The sequence below is a fragment of the Homo sapiens genome, chromosome 8 (assembly GCF_000001405.40).
Source record: "Homo sapiens chromosome 8, GRCh38.p14 Primary Assembly".
Taxonomy (NCBI): Eukaryota; Metazoa; Chordata; class Mammalia; order Primates; family Hominidae; genus Homo; species Homo sapiens.
The window spans coordinates 25,626,126-25,645,730 of NC_000008.11; the positions used below are offsets into that span (position 1 = coordinate 25,626,126).

General features: G+C 41.2%; 1 long non-coding RNA gene across 1 annotated transcript in view; it reads left to right on the top strand.

The window, feature by feature from the left end:
• The first annotated feature begins 4,006 nt into the window (after positions 1-4,006).
• Positions 4,007-19,605, top strand: part of LOC107986933 (uncharacterized) — a 207,238-nt gene continuing 191,639 nt past the window's right edge. Inside the window, exon 1 of the long non-coding RNA XR_001745849.2 lies at positions 4,007-4,244. This is a non-coding gene — a long non-coding RNA (uncharacterized LOC107986933). The remainder of the gene's footprint in view (positions 4,245-19,605) is intronic.

Below are 19,605 nucleotides of genomic sequence, written 5' to 3' on the forward strand. Positions count from 1 at the left end.
TGTGTATATAATGTGTGTGTGTGTATATGTGTATATACACACCTTTGGTATAGGGAGAACCAAGAGAAGCATCAAGTCATGGGAGGTAAAATACACACACACACACACACACACACACACACACACTCCTAAGCTACAAAGCCAAATGTGAAACACGGTAAGTCCACATGGGCTCAAGTGAGAAATTTGCTTCGGGATAACAATTCAGCCAGAAAGTAAACCAGATAAAATACCCAGAGGTAGATAAAGAAAAGGACAGGGAAACTCTGTGTTGTACTTGCAATCTAAAAGGTAAGATTTTTCTCAATGTTCCATCCTGAATCGGCTTTACCCTACTGAATAAAGTCTTGAAGGCTGAACTGTGGGTAAGTTTGTGTGTTACACATTAGCTAAAGGGACCCCATTATCCACGAGTCAGGAGCTCAGCTAGGCGGAAACTGTGGGTAAGAAAACAAAGGCAGTGTGAAAAAAATGGCTGAGGGGGCTCAGAAGTTGGGACTGTTTTTATTTGTTTGTTTTTCTTAACGCCATGGTATTTTAGTCTTGTTTTGTTTTCTTGATCAAATGTGTAGTTTCATACTGTTGTGGAATAGAGCCATGACTTTTATTTTGCAATTATATAGTTTCATTTCCCTTATATTTACGAAAACTACAAATTAATTTTTTCTTTGTGATGCTGATGTATTCATTGGGTTGTTACAAGAGCACAGGATGTCCCAATCTCCACCCGTCCTATCCACTTACCCCACCGGCAGCTGGTTTCCAGGTTCCTTGCCCTGGGTCTTAGGCTTCCTCTTTCTTTCAAACAAAAGCCTCCTTTCCCTAGTTCTCTCCTTGGAATCACAGAGGCTGGAGCTTAAGGAACACAAGTGGCCCAGCATTCTCAGGTTGCAAATGAGCAAAATGAGAAAACAGAGGCCCAGAGATGGGAGTGGCTTGGTTTCTGTGAGAAATGAGGGTCTCCCAGGAGGGAGCCAGTGCAGTCGGCCTTGCTAGCTGAATGTGTGTGGAAACGAAGGAAGTAATACAGGTGGCAAAGAGGTAATGGTTTAGTATCTCTACTCTAGTTTTGTTTTGTTTTTGTTTTTTTGGTTTTTTTTTTTTTTTTTGAGATGGAGTCTCGCTCAGTCGCCCAGGCTGGAGTGCAGTGGCACAATGTCAGCTCACTGCAAGCTCTGCCTTCTGGGTTCACGCCATTCTCCTGCCTCAGCCTCCCGAGGAGCTGGGACTACAGGCATGTGCCACCATGCCTGGCTAATTTTTTTGTATTTTTAGTAGAGACGGGGTTTCACTATGTTAGCCAGGATGGTCTCGATCTCCTGACCTTGTGATCCACCCTCCTCGGCCTCCCAAAGTGCTGGGATTACAGGTATGAGCCACTGCGCCCGGCCTAGTTTTTTTGAAGATCTGGGGAAATGGTAGCCTGTTTGAGAAGCCATTCTGCATCCAAGAAAAACAGACCCAGAAAGCCACCTGCTCATGCATACAAATGCTAAAACTCCAGGAAAGTGAGTGAACAGAACACATTCACCTGCAGGCACTAAGGAAACTGATTTGAGATATAGAATCCTGGAACATTTGTGCTAGAAAGAACCTCACAAGTCGTCTACTCTTATTCCCTTATTTTACAGGTCAAGAAACTCAATCCCAAAGATCACAAAGCTGATTAGAGGAGGGTCCTGATCCGACCCCCGAAAGCCCTCTCTACTGTCCTGAGTGGCCACCAAGTTTGCCTTTGAGAAACATCATGGGATTGTTGTTTGGATGTTGATTTATCTGTGTCCAGTTCTGCTTATTATGGGCTGGTATTAACATTTCTTTTTCTTCTTGTACACCAGTTGTCATAGCATTATCCACAGTAGTCAAAATGTGGAAATAACCCAATATCCATCAACAGATGAACAAAACATGGTGTATATATGGAATATTATTCAGTGTTAAAAAGGAAAGATGGCTGGGCACAGTGGCTCATGCCTGTAATCCCAGCACTTTGGGAGGCCAAGGCGGGTGGATCACGAGTTAAGGAGTTCGAGGCCAGCCTGGCCAACATGGTGAAACCCCCATCTCTACGAAAAAAATAGAAAAATTAGCTGGGCATAGTGGTGCGCACCTGTAGTCACAGCTACTCAGGAGGCTGAGGTAGGAGAATGGCTTGAACCTGGGAGGTGGAGGTTGCAGTGAGCCGAGATTGCACCACTGCACTCCAGCCTGGGAGACAGAGCGAGACTCTGTCTCAATAAAAAAAAAAAAAAAGAAAGAAACATACTGGTACATGCTACAACATGGATAGACCTCAAAACATCGTGCTAAGTGAAATAAACCAGACATAAAGGACATATATTGAATAATTCCCCTTACATGAGGTACCTAGAACAGGCAAATTCATAGAGATGGAAAGAACAGAGGTTTCTAGGGGCTGGAAGGAGGATGGAGAGGAGAATTACAGTTAAATGGGTCCAAAGTTTCTGTTTGGGGTGATAAATAAAACAAGCTCTAAAAAGGATAGTGGTAATGGTTGTACATCAATGTGAATGTACTTAACGAATTGTATCCGTAAAAATATTAAATTGATAAATTTTAAATTGTGCGTATTTCACTACAATTTTTAAAACTGAAAAAATTTTTATGCCTTTCTTTGTTGCAAACCAGTTGAGGCTCCAGTAAGCTGTGGTTTGAGAAGGTAGGCTAGGGAGCTAGCCTGAGTTGAATATGTCCGCAGATCATTTACCAATTGGTAAAACACAGACTTAAGTTTTTCTGTCTGGCTAGGCATGGTGGCTCATGCCTTGTAATTTCGGCTCTTTGGGAGGTCAAAGCAGGATTGCTTGAGGTTAAGACTTCAAGACCAGCCTGGGCAACATGGCGAGACCTCGTCTCTACAAAAAATTTAAAAATTAGCTGGGTGTGGTAGCCTATGCCTGTAATCCCAACCACTCGGGAGGCTGAGATGGGGAGATTGCTTGAGCCTCGGAGTTAGAGGCTGCAGGGAGCTGTGATTGCACCACTGCACTTCAGTCTGTGTGGCAGAGTAAGACCTTGTCTCCTTGTCTCTCCAAAAAAAAACAAAACAAGTTTTCCTTTCTAAGGCCTAACCCTGTCTAAAGGAAGTGTAACCCCAAAGATCAAATAATCGATTATCAAAAATACGTGGAGCTCCCACTCTCTGCCCCACTGTATATATACAAAAGAGGAGTGGGGTGGCGGGATGGTAGGAGTACAGACTTTGGGGCCAGGTTGTCTCAGCGTGAATCCTGGCTCCAGCATATATAAGCTTTTTGCCTCTTGAGTAAATTATTTTCCTCTGTGTTCAATTGCCTCATCTAAAACCAATGTACTATTGGTACTGCATTATAATTTGTTATAAAGGTGAAATGAGTAGGCATGATAAAGGACTCAGAAGACCACCTGGTGGCGCGTGAGCCGTTATCATTATTTTGATCACCTGTTACGAGGGACGTGGTATTAGCAGAGGTGTCTGCCTGCTCTCCAGAAACAAACTTCTTTTTGGTGAAAACTAGGCTAAGAGTAAGAAACTATTAGCAAACATCATAAAGCAGTATTGATGAGCTGGAGTGATAAGAACAAGCATCACAGAGCACGTGGTACTTCATAGAGTTCCTCCGTGTACCCAGGTATGTTTCATCTTTTCAACATCTCGAAAAAGCACATTACAGATTTTACTTAGTGGAAAACAGAGACTCAGAATCATTGCCTTGCTGAAGGATTCACAGCTTATAAGTGGTAAAGAATAAGAATCTTGGGAACTTAGAGACAGGAGAAACCAGTGTGGTCTAAGCCACTCAAGGAAGGCTTTGTGAAAATGTGACTTGAAAAATATCTTGAGTAAGATGAAGATGAGAAGAACATCTTGGGCTGGTACATGGAATGGTACATGGTTCATCTTGGGCTGGTACAGTGTGAATGAGGTGTGTTTGTGTGTATGTGTCTTTAGAGTTGTGCAGTGCACAACCTGTGTGGTCATAGAGAGCAGCCCTGCCAGCAGGGGAAACCACATGGGCAGGAATGAGCAAATTGTCTTTGTAATACAGGAAGAAGGCCTTGTTTGACTGCCACAGATGGGACATTTAGTGGAGTAAGAAGACTGGTGTGAGAACGGGGTGTTGGTGTTAATGTTTGGATTACGGTCCTAGATGCTGAGAATTCCTACAGTGGAAGGAGCTTTGGAATAAGAAACTCGTGATCTCACCCTTGCCTTGGCGCCCCCATCAGCTGTGTGACCCTGGGTAAGTCATTCCAACTCTCTGGGCTTCAATTTGTGCATCCATAGACTGAAAGGATTCAGCTGGGTGGCTCTCTCATTGTGTTTTCATGCCTGTTAAGATGTCAAAAATACTTGGTTATATGACTCTCTTTGCTTCGTTTACTGAAAGGAGAGGCTTGGGAAAGGGTCCTTTCCCATTTTTCTTTTACCCTCGGAATAATAGCCCCTTCTCAGGACGAAGGCTCTCTAAAGCCCTATTCTCTGAAGTATATTAGAGAAGGAAGTGTAAACATAAGATCCTTTTGGTATTTTTATTAAAAAATAAAAACAAAACCCAGGATGGGATAGACTTACCCTTTTCTCCTCTGAGTAATTAACTTGTCTCTCCCCTACATGGGGACAGCAGACCCAAGTATTTTATACTTCTCTTATCTCATCATTTCAAGCTCAGAGTTTTCTACCACTGTTATTTCCCAGTCTCTCTTTGGAATCTATAATGATAGGAATTCTTCCGTGCTTACTCTGTAGTCTGCACAATGTTTTGCAGCCCAAAATAGATGCAAAAAAGTGTGTTCCATTGACTCGTGTTGAATCATATAGGTAAAAAAACCAAGATACTTGTCACCACCTTACATTTGGGGAAACCAAGGCAAGGAATGGGAAAGTGACTTCACTGACGTGCAAAATAAAGGCTAGGCATGCTAACAGAGCTAAAGGTTTCCATCTTAAAGTCCTCGCTGTTCCCCACACGATGATGATGACAGTTGCATGTGTGGGGAGCGACAAACACGCTTTGCCAGGCCCACCAGATGGGCTTGGAAGCCAAGTCAGAGAGAGGCATTTCACTCTCCACATGTAATCGGCATTTACCAGCATTTGCTTACAACAAGAAACATTAAACAGTTTTCCACATTTCCTCTAAATGAATGGGACTCCGCAGGAAAACCCTAAAGGGAAGTGTCTGAGAAATCGGTGGCAGAGGAATTTCACTATGAGGAGAGCGAGCCAGTTCATTCTGTTTGCTTGTTAATAAGTTCTGTGTCGCCAGCTCCAGGGGGAACGGCCTCTTGAATAGCTGGCGGGGAAACGCATTCAAGGGCTCTGCTTGATGAAAATAGGGAATAACGGGAAGGGAGAGGAAGGGAAATAACTTCAGAAAGGATTGGAAAGCTTGTCCTCTGGAATGAAAACAAGCTGCTGCTAATTTGACTAAGTTACTGCTGAGTCTGGGTGCGAGCTGAGCGGCAGCTGAGCCGTGCAGGAAGCTGCAGCCCTGCTTTTCTGGCTCCTCTTTGCAATTTATATGCAGCCAATGTTACGTCTCATTCTTTCAGATAAGGCTGCATTTAGAATCCAGTGTGTTTCAAAAGACAAGCTGCAGAGGCTGGGGTGTGTGTATGACCTGGTTAGAGAGGTGGTTGATACTGATTGTGGATCAAGAAATAGATGAGAAATGTTTCCCTATGTGAAGCATTATCTAGAAGCAATACATGGCCGTGTCGCTCTCCTTAAGGAACATTCATTTGATCATCTTGATGCAGGGCAGGTGAGCCCCAAAGTGGGGCTTAGCCCACGAGGTTTCTTGGCTTCACCCAGGAAAGAATTTAAGGGTGAGCTAGTGGTAGGGTAGAAGAAAACAGTTTTATTCAAGTGGCAGCGTTACAAGTCCATGACTGTTTCCTGCACAGCAGGGCTGCCCCGTTGGCAGTGTGTTGACGGTAGCAGCTCAGGGTAGTTTTGCAGTTATATTTATACCTACTTTTAGTTACATGCAGATTAAGGGGCAGTACATGCAGAAATTTTTAGGGAAGGGGTAATAACTTTTAGATGTCAAGTCATTGCCATGGAAAGGGGCAGTAACTCTCAGATGTTGCCATGACAATGGTAAACTCACATGGCACACTGGTAGGTGTGTCTTATGGAAAACCACTTCCACCTTATCCCTGTTTTAGCTAATCCTCAATTTGGTCAGGTGTCCGAGCTCTGCCTCTGGAGTCAAGTCCTACCTCCTGCCTCAATCTGGCCAACAAATATTTATATCTGTGCTGTCCTGGGACGTGAAGCCAATTGAGTTGTGTACCTGGTTCTCAAAGACACTGATGAAGACAGAAAATAAATAGAAAATCATGATACAAGATATATGCCGTTCAGGGTACAGATTTGCATAGGTTCTTAAGGAAGGGGTACCTGTCCCAGGCTGAGGAAGATGGAGAAGGCAGGGTATGGAAAATCTGCCTAGAGGATGGGGTTCCTGAAGGAGAATTAGGAGTGAGTTAGCTGGTTTTCCTTCCACAATAAAAGGTGTGAGATTTAAGTACTCTGGGACCCACTGAAATTGTCTGCAAATTGGTGTGTTATGTTATGTTATGTTGTGTTATGTTACGTTATGTACATCTGCCTTTCTCCGGAGGGGACACATAACTTATCAGATTCTTAGAGGCCTAAGACCTTTTCTATCCCTAATTAATGATTTATGTTAACTGTGCAATACTTCTGAATATTTTACTGATGTCCAAATAATAGACATTCTATTTTCGTTTCTATGTGTATATATTTGCTTCTATATGTGTGGAACTATAGCAAACATTTATGTAGTTAAATCTTTGTGCACGTGTTTTCTTTTTAAATTTTAGAAACGTTATTGCGTCATCAAAGTATGTGAACACTTTAAAAACCTTTGGGTACATATTGTCAAAATTCCCTCTCCAAATTTATACAGGCTTATTACCAACAGAGGTGGAGTACCATTTCCCTGAACTCTTGCCAATGCTATTTGTATTGCCTTTTAATTAAGAAATATTTTAAATATAAATTGATACAGAAAATAGATGCCTATGAGCTTATTTACCTATATTTAATATATATGACAATTTGCCATAGTGTTTTTCATATCTTAATAAAGAAATAAAGTGTGTGTGATAGGGACAGCAGAAGCCCACTCTTTCCTTCCCATCTCATTCATCTCCTTCCCTCCCCCAATACCCAACATTTTTTCCTTTTCTTTCCTTCCTTTTGTAGAGAAAGGGTCTCACGATGTTGCCCAGGCTGGTCTTGAACTCCTGGGCTCAAACAATCCTCCAGCTTTGGCCTCCCAAAGTGCTGGGATTATAGGAGTGTGCCACTGTGCCTGGCCCCCAATATATATGTTTTTCCTAATCACTATACTACCGGGGATTGGCCCCCAAGGGTTTTTAAGTGGATATTTTCATACTTTTACCACTCACAGATGTCTCCAACAATATATAATAATGTACTTCTTAAAATAGCTATCATACTGAGCATAGTTATTGTAATTTTCTTTTTTCTGAGACAGAGTCTCTTGCTCTGTCACCAGGCTGGAGTGCAGTGGTGTGATCTCGGCTCACTGCAACCTCTGCCTCCTAGGTTCAAGTGATTCTCATGCCTCAGCCTCCTGCGTAGCTGGGATTACAGGCGCCCACACCATGCCCAGCTAATTTTTGTATTTTTAGTAGAGATGGGGTTTTGCCATGTTGGCTAGGCTGGTCTCGAACTCCGGACCTCAAGTGATCTGCCCACGTCAGCCTCCCAAAGTGCCGGGATTATAGGCGTGAGCTACCGTGCCCGGCTGTAATTTTCTTTAAACATTGATTTTTACTTTCTTCTAAAATGTTTTATTTGCTTTGCTTTTCCTTTGCTTCTCCCGCCTCTCTCTCCTACCATTCCTTGGACTGAACAGCTTTTGTTAGTCCCTCCTTCACCTCTATTGGTTTAGAAGTTATACAGATAATTTATTTCTACTCTTTTAGGAGTTATCCTTAAAATATTTTAAACAGCTTTATTGGGATATAATTTTCATACTATACAGTTCACCCATGTGATGTGTACAAGTCAATGGATTTTAATGTATTCACAGGGTGCGGCAACCATCACCACAATTTATGTTAATATTTTTATCATCCCCAAAAGAAACCTCAGAGCCATTATCAGTCACTCCCCATTCTCCCTTCCCCTCTGCCCTTGGAAACCACTAATCTATTTTCTGTCTCTGTGGATTTGTCTATTCTAGACATTTCACATAAATGGAATCATTCAGTAAGTGTTGTGACTGGCTTCTTTCACTTAATGTAATGTTTTCAAGATTCATTGATGTCGTACCATGGATCCATACTTCATTACTTTTTATGGCCAAATAATAATTATATGCATAAGTCATATCCATTCATCAGCTGATGAACATTTGGGTGTTTCCACTTTTTGACATTATGAGTGATGATATAAAGAACAGTCATGTATGAGTTTTTATGTGGACATATGTTTTCAAGTTCTCTGGATAGATACAGAGAAATGAAATTGGTAGATAATGTGATAAATCAATAGTTAGCTTTTAAAGGAACTGCAAAACTGCTTTCCAAAGTGGCTGCCCCATTTTACATTCCCACCAGGAATGTATGAAGTTCCTGTTTCTCCACATCCTCACTAACACTGTAATAGTCTTTTTTTTTTTTTTTTTTTAAGAATGATCCTTGTAGATGTGAAGTGGTATTTATTGTGGTTTGACTTTACATTTCCCTAATGACTAATGATGTTGAGCATCTTTTCATGTGCCTTTTTTTTTTTTTTTTAATGAGACAGAGTCTTGCTCTGTTGCCAGGCTGGAGTGCAGTGGCGCTATCTTGGCTCACTGCAACCTCTGCCTACCCGGTTCAAACGATTACCCTGCCTCAGCCTCCTGAGTAGCTGGGACTACAGGCGTGTACCACCACGTCCGGCTAATTTTTTGTATTTTAGTAAAGATGGGGTTTCACCATGTTGGCCAGGATGGTCTCAATCTCCTGACCTCGTGATCCGCCTGCCTCAACCTCCCAAAGTGCTGGGACCACAGACATGAGCCACTGCCCCCGCCCTTCATGTGCTGGTTGGTCATTCCTATATCTTCCTTGGAGAAAGGTCTACTCAGGTTCTTCGACTATTTGTAAGTTGGGTTATTTATCTTTTTATTACGGGGTTGTAATAGTTCTTTATAGCTTTGGGATACAGGTTGCATATCAGATATATGATTTGTAAATGTTTTTTCCCCTTCTATATGTTGTGTTTTGCTTTCTTGATGGTATCATTTATAGCACTGAAGTTTTCAATTTTGGTGAAGTCCAATTTCTCTATTTTTTTTTTTCCTTTGTCACTTGTGCTTTTGGTGTCATGTCTAACCCAAGTTCACTAAATTTACTCCTACGTTTTCTTCTAAGAGTTTAGTAGATTCAGCTCATAACATTTATATCTGTTGTCCATTTGAATTAATTTTTGTGTATGGTATAAGGCAGGGTCAAAATTCATTTTTTGCCATGTGGATGTCCAATTGTTCTAGCCTCGAATTAGTAACATGCATATGTTACTTAAGGACAACTTAGGTTTTTAAAATAAACTTCAGAATGATCAGGACTCATATACCACTTTAATTCTGATCATCCTGACCTCTTTCATGGTATTGAGGCCTAGTATTTTACTTCTATCCTCTTTTTGAGGCCCCCAGCATTCTTAATGACATTACACTTCATACATATGTGATGTTAATACTTCCTGGGTGTCTTTGCTCACCAGTGCTTTTGCTTCTCACTTTTTCCTTCTTGGTTTAGTTGGCTGCTTTTTTCTTTTTTTTCTTAAGACAGTGTCTCCCTTTGTTGCCCAGGCTGGAGTGCAGTGGTACAGTCTTGGCTCACTGCAACCTCTGCCTCCCCAGCTCAAGTGATCCTCCTACCTCACTACGCAAGGTGGTGGTTCAAACCCCTCCGCTGAATTCCAGATGAATTTATTCAACTGTTCACTGGATATCTCCACATGAATGTCTTCTATGCACCTCAAACTTGACATGACCCAAACAGAGCTTTTGAGTTCTGCCTACCTGCTCGTGCCACAGTCTCATCATAGTCAGTGGGAACACCATCTTTGCAATACTTGCCCCCAAACCCAAGCATCATGGCAGATTCTTTTCTCATTTGTACCCCACATTCCATTTCAGCAAATCATGTTCAAAATACATCCAGATTCTAACCACTTTCACTATGTGGTGGAGCCTCCTGTTTATAGTCTCTCATCTGTTTATCATGAAGGCCCCCTACCGGTCTTTCTGGTCTGCCTTCAGCTCATTCTCTGCATATCTCTGAGTTAAAATATAAATTAGATTATGTCATTCCTTTGCTCAAAACCCTCACACGGTTTTTCATCTCACCCCTGGTGAAACTAAGCCCCACAGTGGCCTCGCAGAGCCACAGTCTGGCCTCTGAGGTCTGCCTGGTCTGTTTCCCTGCCATACTCCCTCTCTCACCTCCTGACAGCCACAAGGGCCTCCTTGCTGCTCCTCAAACCCATCAGGCCGGCCCTTGACTTGGAGCTTTTACATTTGTTGTTCATCTTCTCAAAACATTCTTCTCCAAGATTTATTTCCGCATGATATCCTTCAGGTCTTAATCACAGATTACTTTGTGCCTGCCCTAGCCTGCCTATTTAAAATGGCATGCTCCCTAATAATTCCTACCCCATTCCCTGCTTTGGTTTTCTCCATAGCAATTACCACCACTGACTATATTATGGTAGGTTTTATTTTTCATTCACGATTACTTATTCCCTTCTCTGTAGGAGGATTATGCATACGCACTCTTGCCGTGCTTGTCTCTAGTGCATACCATTGGCAACTTTGGGTATGTGATTTGTTTATATTAATAGAATGTGAGCAAGCATGACACAGGTCGCTTCTAAGCGAAAGCTTTCAGTACAACAGTATGATTGGCTTGATGTCTTGCATTTTTGCCCTCTGCCGCTATAAGAGCATGTCCCAGATGGGGACTTGTTCTTCAGTCTGCCTCCTGGAACTCACAGATTAGACCCATAGTCAACCCCCAGCCTGGAGTAGAGCCACAGGGAACCTGCAACCCTCATTTGACATGAAAAACAATTATCATTATAAATCATTGAGATGTGAGGATTGTCTGGTTACCGCAGCAAACACTTAGTAATATATCAAATTTTACTTAAAAAACTATCTCTCTTGTCTTTCTCTAGCAAGTGGACCATTTAAAAAAAAGAAGAAGAAAAACAACAACCACAAAATTATCTCTTTCTTTTAGAAAGTAAATGCTGTGAAAGCAGGGATTTTTGTCTTCATTCATTGCTTTCTTTTTCATACCTAAAATAGTGTGGGGTACATGGTAGAGCTTCATAAATATATATGGTATTAATTAATATATGCTAGAAAATTCTTAGTCATTTTCCCTTTAAATATTGCCTCTCCTCTTTTTCTCTATTGCCTTTTCCTGGAACTCCTATTAGATGTATGTTGGACTTTCTCATTCTCTCTTAACCACTCTTTTATATTTTCCATTTCTTTAAATCCCCAAATTCTTCATTGTGGATATATTTTTTTTAGGTTTTATTCCAATGACTATATGTTTTATTTCTTTAAATTCTATTCTACTCTTTTTTCAAATGTGCCTATTTTCAGAATGTGCTTTTCTTCAGTATGTTTTTTTATACCATCCTTTATCATTTTGACAAATTAAAACATATTTAGTTTATGTTTTTCTGTTGGAAGAATATTATCTGACGTTTTGGGAGATGGTAACTGCCACTTTTTTTTTTTTTTGAGATGGGAGTCTCGCTCTGTTGCCCAGGCTGGAGTGCAGTGGCATGATCTCAGCTCACTGCAAGCTCCGCCTCCCGGGTTCACTCCATTCTCCTGCCTCAGCCTCCTGAGTAGCTGGAACTACAGGTGCCCGCCACCACACCCTGCAATTTTTTGTATTTTTAGTAGAGATGGGGTTTCACCATGTTAGCCAGGATGGTCTCGATCTCCTGACTTCATGATCCTCCCGCCTCGGCCTCCCAAAGTGCTGGGATTACAGGCGTGAGACACCACCACGCCCGGCTGGTAACTGCCACCTTTTTAAAACTTATGACTGTTGCTCACAGATTATTTTCTCTTGTGATTTATAATATTTTTGGAAGCTCAGCCACAGTGAGCATTAAAAAAGTATTCTTGTTAGAGCCACATGTGCTCTTTCAAAAAAAATCATTGGCTTGGGACTTCTTTTACCAAAAAAAACAAAAACAAAAAACAACACCAAAAAAAAACAGTGCTAATTTGTACTTTGTGCCCGCATAAGGCATAGACTTGAGTTTTCACCTTCTTCCAGTAGGTTTTTATTTCCTTTTTTGCTCCCCAGAAACCTAGTCAGAGATAATGACACTTTTTTCTTCACTGAGGTGTTAAATGGAGTTTTAAAGTTCACTCTTTACTGACAGTGCAGCCTTTTCAGGGTCCCTGGGTGAACTGCAGGGTCCTTCAGGGTCCCTACAGGAGTCATAGTATGTGTGAAGCCCCACCCTTCACTCTTAGCTGTGTATTCTTTGAGTCCTCTCTCTCCCAGCCTTCCACCATCCTCAGCCCTGAGGAATCAGCTTTCAAGCTCCTTGCTTTATCTTTGTCTTCCAGAGACTGCTTAGAAAGTTTTTTCTTGCCTTGAGATTAAAAAATCTCCATCTGTACTTTTTCTAGGTTTTAAAAAATTACTTATTTTTTTTTACATTGAAAGTTATAGGTCATGTGAAATTTATTTTGGTACATGGTGTAAGGTAGATATCTAACTTTACTTTTCTCCCAAATGGCTAAACAGTTGTCTAAACATATCTTATTAAGTAATTCGTTGTTACTCTCTGTTCACCTTTATCACGAATTCTTATGCATATGGGGTGAATTTCAGAGCTTTCTGTTTCACTTTAATGGTCTGTCTGTCATTCCCTGTGCTATTATCATATTCTTTTAAGTAGTGTATCTTTCTAATACATTTTAATATTGGGAAATTCAGGCCACCTTGAAGTCCTGTTTTTTCTTGTCTGGTAGCAGATGTTTATTCTTTTTAACAAGCTGAAGAATTATTTTGTTCAGCTACACAAAACATGTTTAAGATTTGATTGAAATGAAACACATTTATAAATTAATTTAAAAATAATGGGCATCTTTATGACATTGAGCCATCTCATGAAGAAGTATTTCCTCATATGATATTTCTTCATATAGCATTTGTTTTAAAACTTATTTTTTTGTTTTTTTCTTTTAAATGACTTTAAAATGCTTTAAGTTGTGGTAAAATAGACATAACATAAAATTTACCATCCTAACTATTTTTAAGCATATAGTTCAGCAGTAAAGCTCATTTTCAGCTCATTCATATTTTAATATAACCCATGTTCAGGACTCTTTTCATGTTGCAAAAGGAAAACTCTGTACTCATTGAACAACTCCTCATTCCCACTTACTCCAGCCTCTGGCAGCCGCCATTCTACTTTCTATTTCTGTGAATTTGACTACCCTAGGTACTTCACATAAAGTACTTTTCTTTATGGAATTATATAAAGTATTTTTCTTTTTGTGACTGGCTTATTTCACTTAAAATCCTTAAGGTTCATTCATGTTGTAGTGTGAGTCAGAATTTCTTTCCTTTTAAAGATTGAGTAATATTCTATCATATGTGTATATCACATTTTGTTTATCCATTCATTCATCCATGAATGCTTATTTGGCTGCCAACTCGGTATCATGAATAATACTGATATAAACTTGAGTGTAAAAATATCTCTTTGAGATCCTGATTTAAATTATTTGGGGTATATATATAGAAGTAGAAGTGCTGGATCACATGGTAATTCTATTATTATGAATGTTTTATACAGTTATTAGTGGAATTTTCTCTGCATGATATTTTGTAATTGGTCCTTGGTGGCATAAAGAAAAATCTATTGGATTTTGTGTATTTCCTGTGTTTTTTATTAGTGGTTCTCAAGCTTGGATGCATATTAAAGGCATCTGGCAGCTTTTAAAACAGACATGGAGCCAGGCCTCAGTCAAGAACAATTATATCAGAATTTCTGGGGTGAGCCCCAGGTATTGATAGTTTTTAAAAGCTTTCCAGGTGATTGTAAAATGAAGTAAAGGTTGACAAAGGTATTAGACTCAATCATTGTTTAGTTGATGCACATGGATGTTTTAGACAAATAATATCATCTGCAAAGAATCATTTTCTATTCTTTTCTATATTTACACCTCGTTAATGTGTTTTGGACTTATCGCATTGACCAAAATTTCCTCAACAATGCTAAATACATCTTTGTTTTGTTCTTGATTTTAAAAGAATGCTTTTGCTTTAGGTATATTAGATGCTGTTTTCAAAGAGATTTTCTTTTTCTTACTGTGCATTTCTTGAGCAAGATATAAAAGTAGGGATCATCTGAAGAGGTTACATTTTATCCATGCCTGTGTCTTTTGAAATTTTAGTATATATTTTCCTGAAGTAAGCACAGATGATTTTTCATAGAAATCGAATTACGAATGTATTTCCTATTCATTTCACTAACACATTTCGTAAAATGTATGTTGAATTATCAATGGATGCTGACATTTATGACATCCTTATCTGCTTTGCCCAAAAGCTACCTTGAGGCATATTAGTGGATATTTGCTAGCATTGAAACCATGGGTTAGAGCTGCTTTCTAATGGTTATGTGTTCTTCCCCTCCGCTTGGACAGATGACTCTCTGGACTGATGGAGTACATAGCTGCTCTGCTCCTAAAAGATACAGCCACCTTGTTTATTTCTACCTCTGCTCCTATCTAAAGAGACTTTTTGCTGGGGTTTGGCCTAGGCTGTGATGTGTTACTACTGTTTCCCCACATTTCCTGTTTAGATGTTTCTGGGCATTGCTATATCTGATTGGTTGTAAAACAAATGTTGGGTGAGAACATGTGACAGAGGGGAATAGTACCTGCCGAGACTAAAAGGTGGCACCTGCACCCCAGGTTTCTGGGTCTTACAGCTTCCGGGTCTGAGTCAGGAGACAACGGTAAGGAAGGGATGACTTATCTTCCTTTCTCTTTTCTCTCTTTTTCTCTTTGTTTTCTTTCTCTCCTGTCTTCCTTTCTTTTTAAATGATCTCCATTTTATGAAGCACAGACTGAGATTCATGAGGCAATAATTGGCCAGATTTTATTTAACAAAACTCTGTTTTTCTGTAGATTCTGGGGATTCCTTCTGGGTTTGGCATTATGTTGTCTGGAAGATTTTCTTTTCCTCTGGTGGTTTTTAATCTTTTAATTGAGTTGGGTTTTAACTTTTTAAAAGTTTTTTAAAATATATTTTAGGCCAGGCACGGTGGCTCACACCTGTAATCCCAGCACTTTGGGAGGCCAAGGCAGGTGGATCACGAGGTCAGAAGTTCAAGATCAGCGTGGCCAAGATGGTGAAACCTGGTGTCTACTAAAAATACAAAAAAAAAAAAAATTAGCTGGGCATGGTGGTGGGCACCTGTAATTCCAGCTACTCGGGAGGCTGAGGCAGAGAATTGCTTAAACCCGGGAGGTGGAGGATGCAGTGAGCCTAGATTGCACTGCTGCACTCTAGCCTTGGTGACAGAGTGAGACTCCATCTCAAAAAAAAAAAAAAAAAAAAAAAGGATATTTTAGCGGGATGTTGGAAAAGATTGAATTAAGGCTTAGATTCAGATACTATTTTAAACCAGAAGCCTAATACTATTTTAATCAGGAGAGTGATGTGCAGATCTGGACTAAAATGAAGATAAGAGAGGAAGCCTAGAGACCAGTAAGGGAAGCTATGATAGCACATTAAATTGTTGGAGGACACTTTTCTTTTTTTTGAGACAAGGTCTCACTCTGTCACCCAGGCTGGAGGGCAGTGACACAATCACAGCTCACTGCAGCCTCGACCTCCCCAGGCTTAGGTGTTCCTCCCACCTTAGCCTCCTGAGTAGCTGGGACTACAGGCATTTGCCACCACACTCAGCCAATTTTGGTATTTTTAGTAGAGATGAGGTTTTACCGTGTGGCCCAGGCTGGTCTCAAACTCCTGGGCTCAAGCAATCCACCTGCCTTGGCCTCCCAAAATGCTGGGATTATCGACATGAGCCACCACACCCAGCCTGGAGGACATGTTAATGCAGCATAAAATAAGGTACTAATCTGAATGTCATTGGATATAACCAATCTCATGTAATAGAAAGATCACTGGGCTTGCTATCAAAAGCACTGAGCTTTAGCTCTAACTAACATTAACCAGCTGTGCAAACTTGAACAACTCTTTTAACTTCTTTAAATCTGAAATTAATCACAGTTAAACCAAGATGTCAACATGACTGGTCTAGGGGATGCCCAGACAGCTGGTAAACATGCTTTCTGGATGTGTCCATGAGGGTGTTTCCAGGAGAGATTTGTATCTGAATTGGTGGACTGAGTAGTGTGGATCTGCCTTCATCAGCGTGGATGAGAGTCATCCAACTAAGGGCCCAGATAGAACAAAAAGGCAGAAGAGTGAATTTCCTCGCTCTCTCCTTGAACTGGACAGTTGTCTTATCCTGCACTCAGACACTGGTGCTCCCAGTTCTTGAGCCTTAAGCCTTAGACTGAGAGTTACATTGCTGGCTCCTCTAGTTCTCAAGCCTTCAGACTTAGACTGAATTATACCACTGGTCCTTAAGGTTATTCCTCTTGCAGTTGGAAGATCATGGGACTTGACCTCCATAATTTTGTGAGCCAATTCCAATAATACATACCCTCTTCTGTATCTATAAGACAGATTTTCCTGGTGGTTTTGTTTCTCTGGGGAACCCTGACTAACGCACCTACGTGAAAAGGTCAAGAAAGATCTATAGTTCTTGAGACTATCTGACATTTTTGGTTTTGATCATTCCATATGTAAAAATGAATGGTGTGGGCTCTGAGTGCAGTCGAAGATTGACTTGAAGCAGGTGGAGTGTGTGATGGGCTTGGAAGAAAATCAGATTTGAATGGAGAGGGCAGTGAAGCCTCCAAGGGCTTCCTGTTGAAGGTGGGGGGTTGCTGTTCCTGGTTTGTGTGCTAAGGTTGACACAATGTTTTGTTTCTAGAAGAAGGAGTAAAAAAAGGACATACTAGAATGGATTTGTTTTTATTTTAGTCTGATGTATTATAATCTTTGTGAGTAGTTGTAGTAGACTGTTTTTGCACTGCTATATAAACAAAAAACAGAGACTGGGTATTTTATAAGAAAGGTTTAATTGGCTCACAGTTCTGCAAGCTGTACAGGAAGCATGGTGCCAGCATCTGTTTGGGAGGCCTCAGGAAGCTTCCATTCATGGCAAAAGGTAAGGGAGAGCAGGCATAGGACATGGCGCAAGCAGGAGCGAGAGAGAGAGAGAAAGAAAGAATATTGGATATTGGGCGGGGGAGGTGCCACACACTTTTAAACCACCCTAACCTGTGTGAACTCAGAGCAAGAGCTCACTTATCATGAAGGGGCTGGCTCATGCCATTCATGAGGTATCCAACCTCATGATCCAAACACCTCCCACCAGGCCCCACCTCCAGCATTGGGGATTACAATTCAACATGAGATTTGGGTGAGGACAAGATATCCAAACTATATCTTTAGTATTTGCAATAATTCATCAGAATTTTCTTATAGAAAGCCTAGCCTTTACAGTGGGGCAGAACCAGCACTTTGCACATATTATAGTAATGCAAGAGGGGTAGATATGACTGCATCTTGATGAGGTTAAATGATGTGGACAAGCCTGCATAGCTTGCAAATAGACAAACTTCAAAGTCTACCTACATCTGTGATTCCAAAGCCTGTGAGCTTCTCCCTGAGTAGAGCTGCTTTAGCTCGCAGGTCCCGTAGGTGTGGTTGTGTTGTTGATAATAGAGCCAAGGAAATGTGATATGTTTGCTGGGCTGGTAAGAAACCATGCCCTCCTGGAGGTCAGTGACTGTGTTTTATCAACTTTCTAAACCCAAAGACTGGCATGATTACTGGACCATATAGTAGATACGCCGTAAATATAGTTAAGTGGAATTGAATTACACACAGTACCAAGTGGGGATCTGAATGCACCCTCTCTGTCTTTCTTGACGCTCCATCTGAATTTGTCCTGGAGTCTTGGCCTGAATTTTCTCCCCCAGGTGCATGTCAGGGAAGGTCACAGACTTGAAATATTTGCTTACAAGTCAATTTGGAGATCAGCAAGACTGAATCTCAGCACTGAGGGGGATGGAGAGTGATGCCTTCAGGCTGGGGTTTTGAAACCAAACAATTAAGTTCATTAACAGTAATGAAACACAGGGAAGACAGCAGCAGCGAGAGATACTCAGTATAAAATGAGCATTGGCTCTCCCTTCACCCTCCTCTCTTTTTCATTTTCTTCCTCTCAAAATGAAAGTTGCTGACCTGTGGGGCTTTGTTTACCCCTGTGAACTGTGAAACTATTGCATTCTTGAATAATTGTGACTAATCATGGGGAAACAGACCTTTTAAAGCAGCTTGGTACAAAAAGGCAGATCTCGCATTTTGAAAATATAAATGGATCAATGCAGATTCCAAGTTCCATAACCAAATCATGTTGTGTGTGTGCACGCAAATCATGTGTGTGTGCACGCGTGTGTTTCTTTCTGGTGCTTGGCACACCATGGCTGCCTAAATTATGTTTGCTGTGTTGCATTAAAAAAAACAAACCTCAAGCTGCTGTTTGAACTGACCCCTTTGTTGACGCTCCCTTTCTGTTCCCTGTGGTCAGCTTGGGGTTAGCTTGGCATGATGGAGGGACCTGCAAAAGGCACCCCATGTTTCTCAACCAAAACAGGCCCATGGAGGTGCACAAGCAAAGCAAATTCAGAGCAATGGAGAGGCCTGGAGGGGTGGGAGGGAGGGGTGTGTAAGCTCGTCCTGCATGACTGGTGTGCACTGTGACGGGCTTCTAATAGGTGAAATAAAATTGTAGTCACCACCGTAAAAGACTTCTGCTGCAATTTATTAATCAGGGTCTGGGGAGATCGATGACACTGAATGATTATGTAGCATTAGGCGAACGCCCCGCTCCTTTGGCAATGCTGCTCTCTGGATGGGCTACAGATGCTCACATCTGCTTTTGTTACAGCCTCAAACTCCTGCGACCTGGCATGAAGTTAATGAAGGCCCTTGCACTATTCCCCACATTCCTTTAGCAAAGTTAACCATATCTGGTCAACCTGGAAATCCAATGAGTTAATTAAGACAGAATTGTCTATGATTTCCTTTTACATTATAACTGCCCCCTCAACCCTCAACCACCCCTACATGGACGCGGTCCCCCTCCTCCCTGCAAACCTAAGCAGTGAAACTGCCTCTTGCCCCATGTGCCAGAATGATTAATGGGGGGACTACAATGAGGTCAATTAGCTAGGGTCGGCTTGAAGCTGAAAGGTGGAGTGTGTTTCTTTATTGAACACTGCATTCACACTCCAAACAGTGACCTGCGCTGCAGTGATTTATTGCGAGGGCAGTCCTCTGATCACTTACCTTCAGTGCTTGTACCTTGGCTTTGAAAACCGGGCTTTCACTGTCAATTAACGC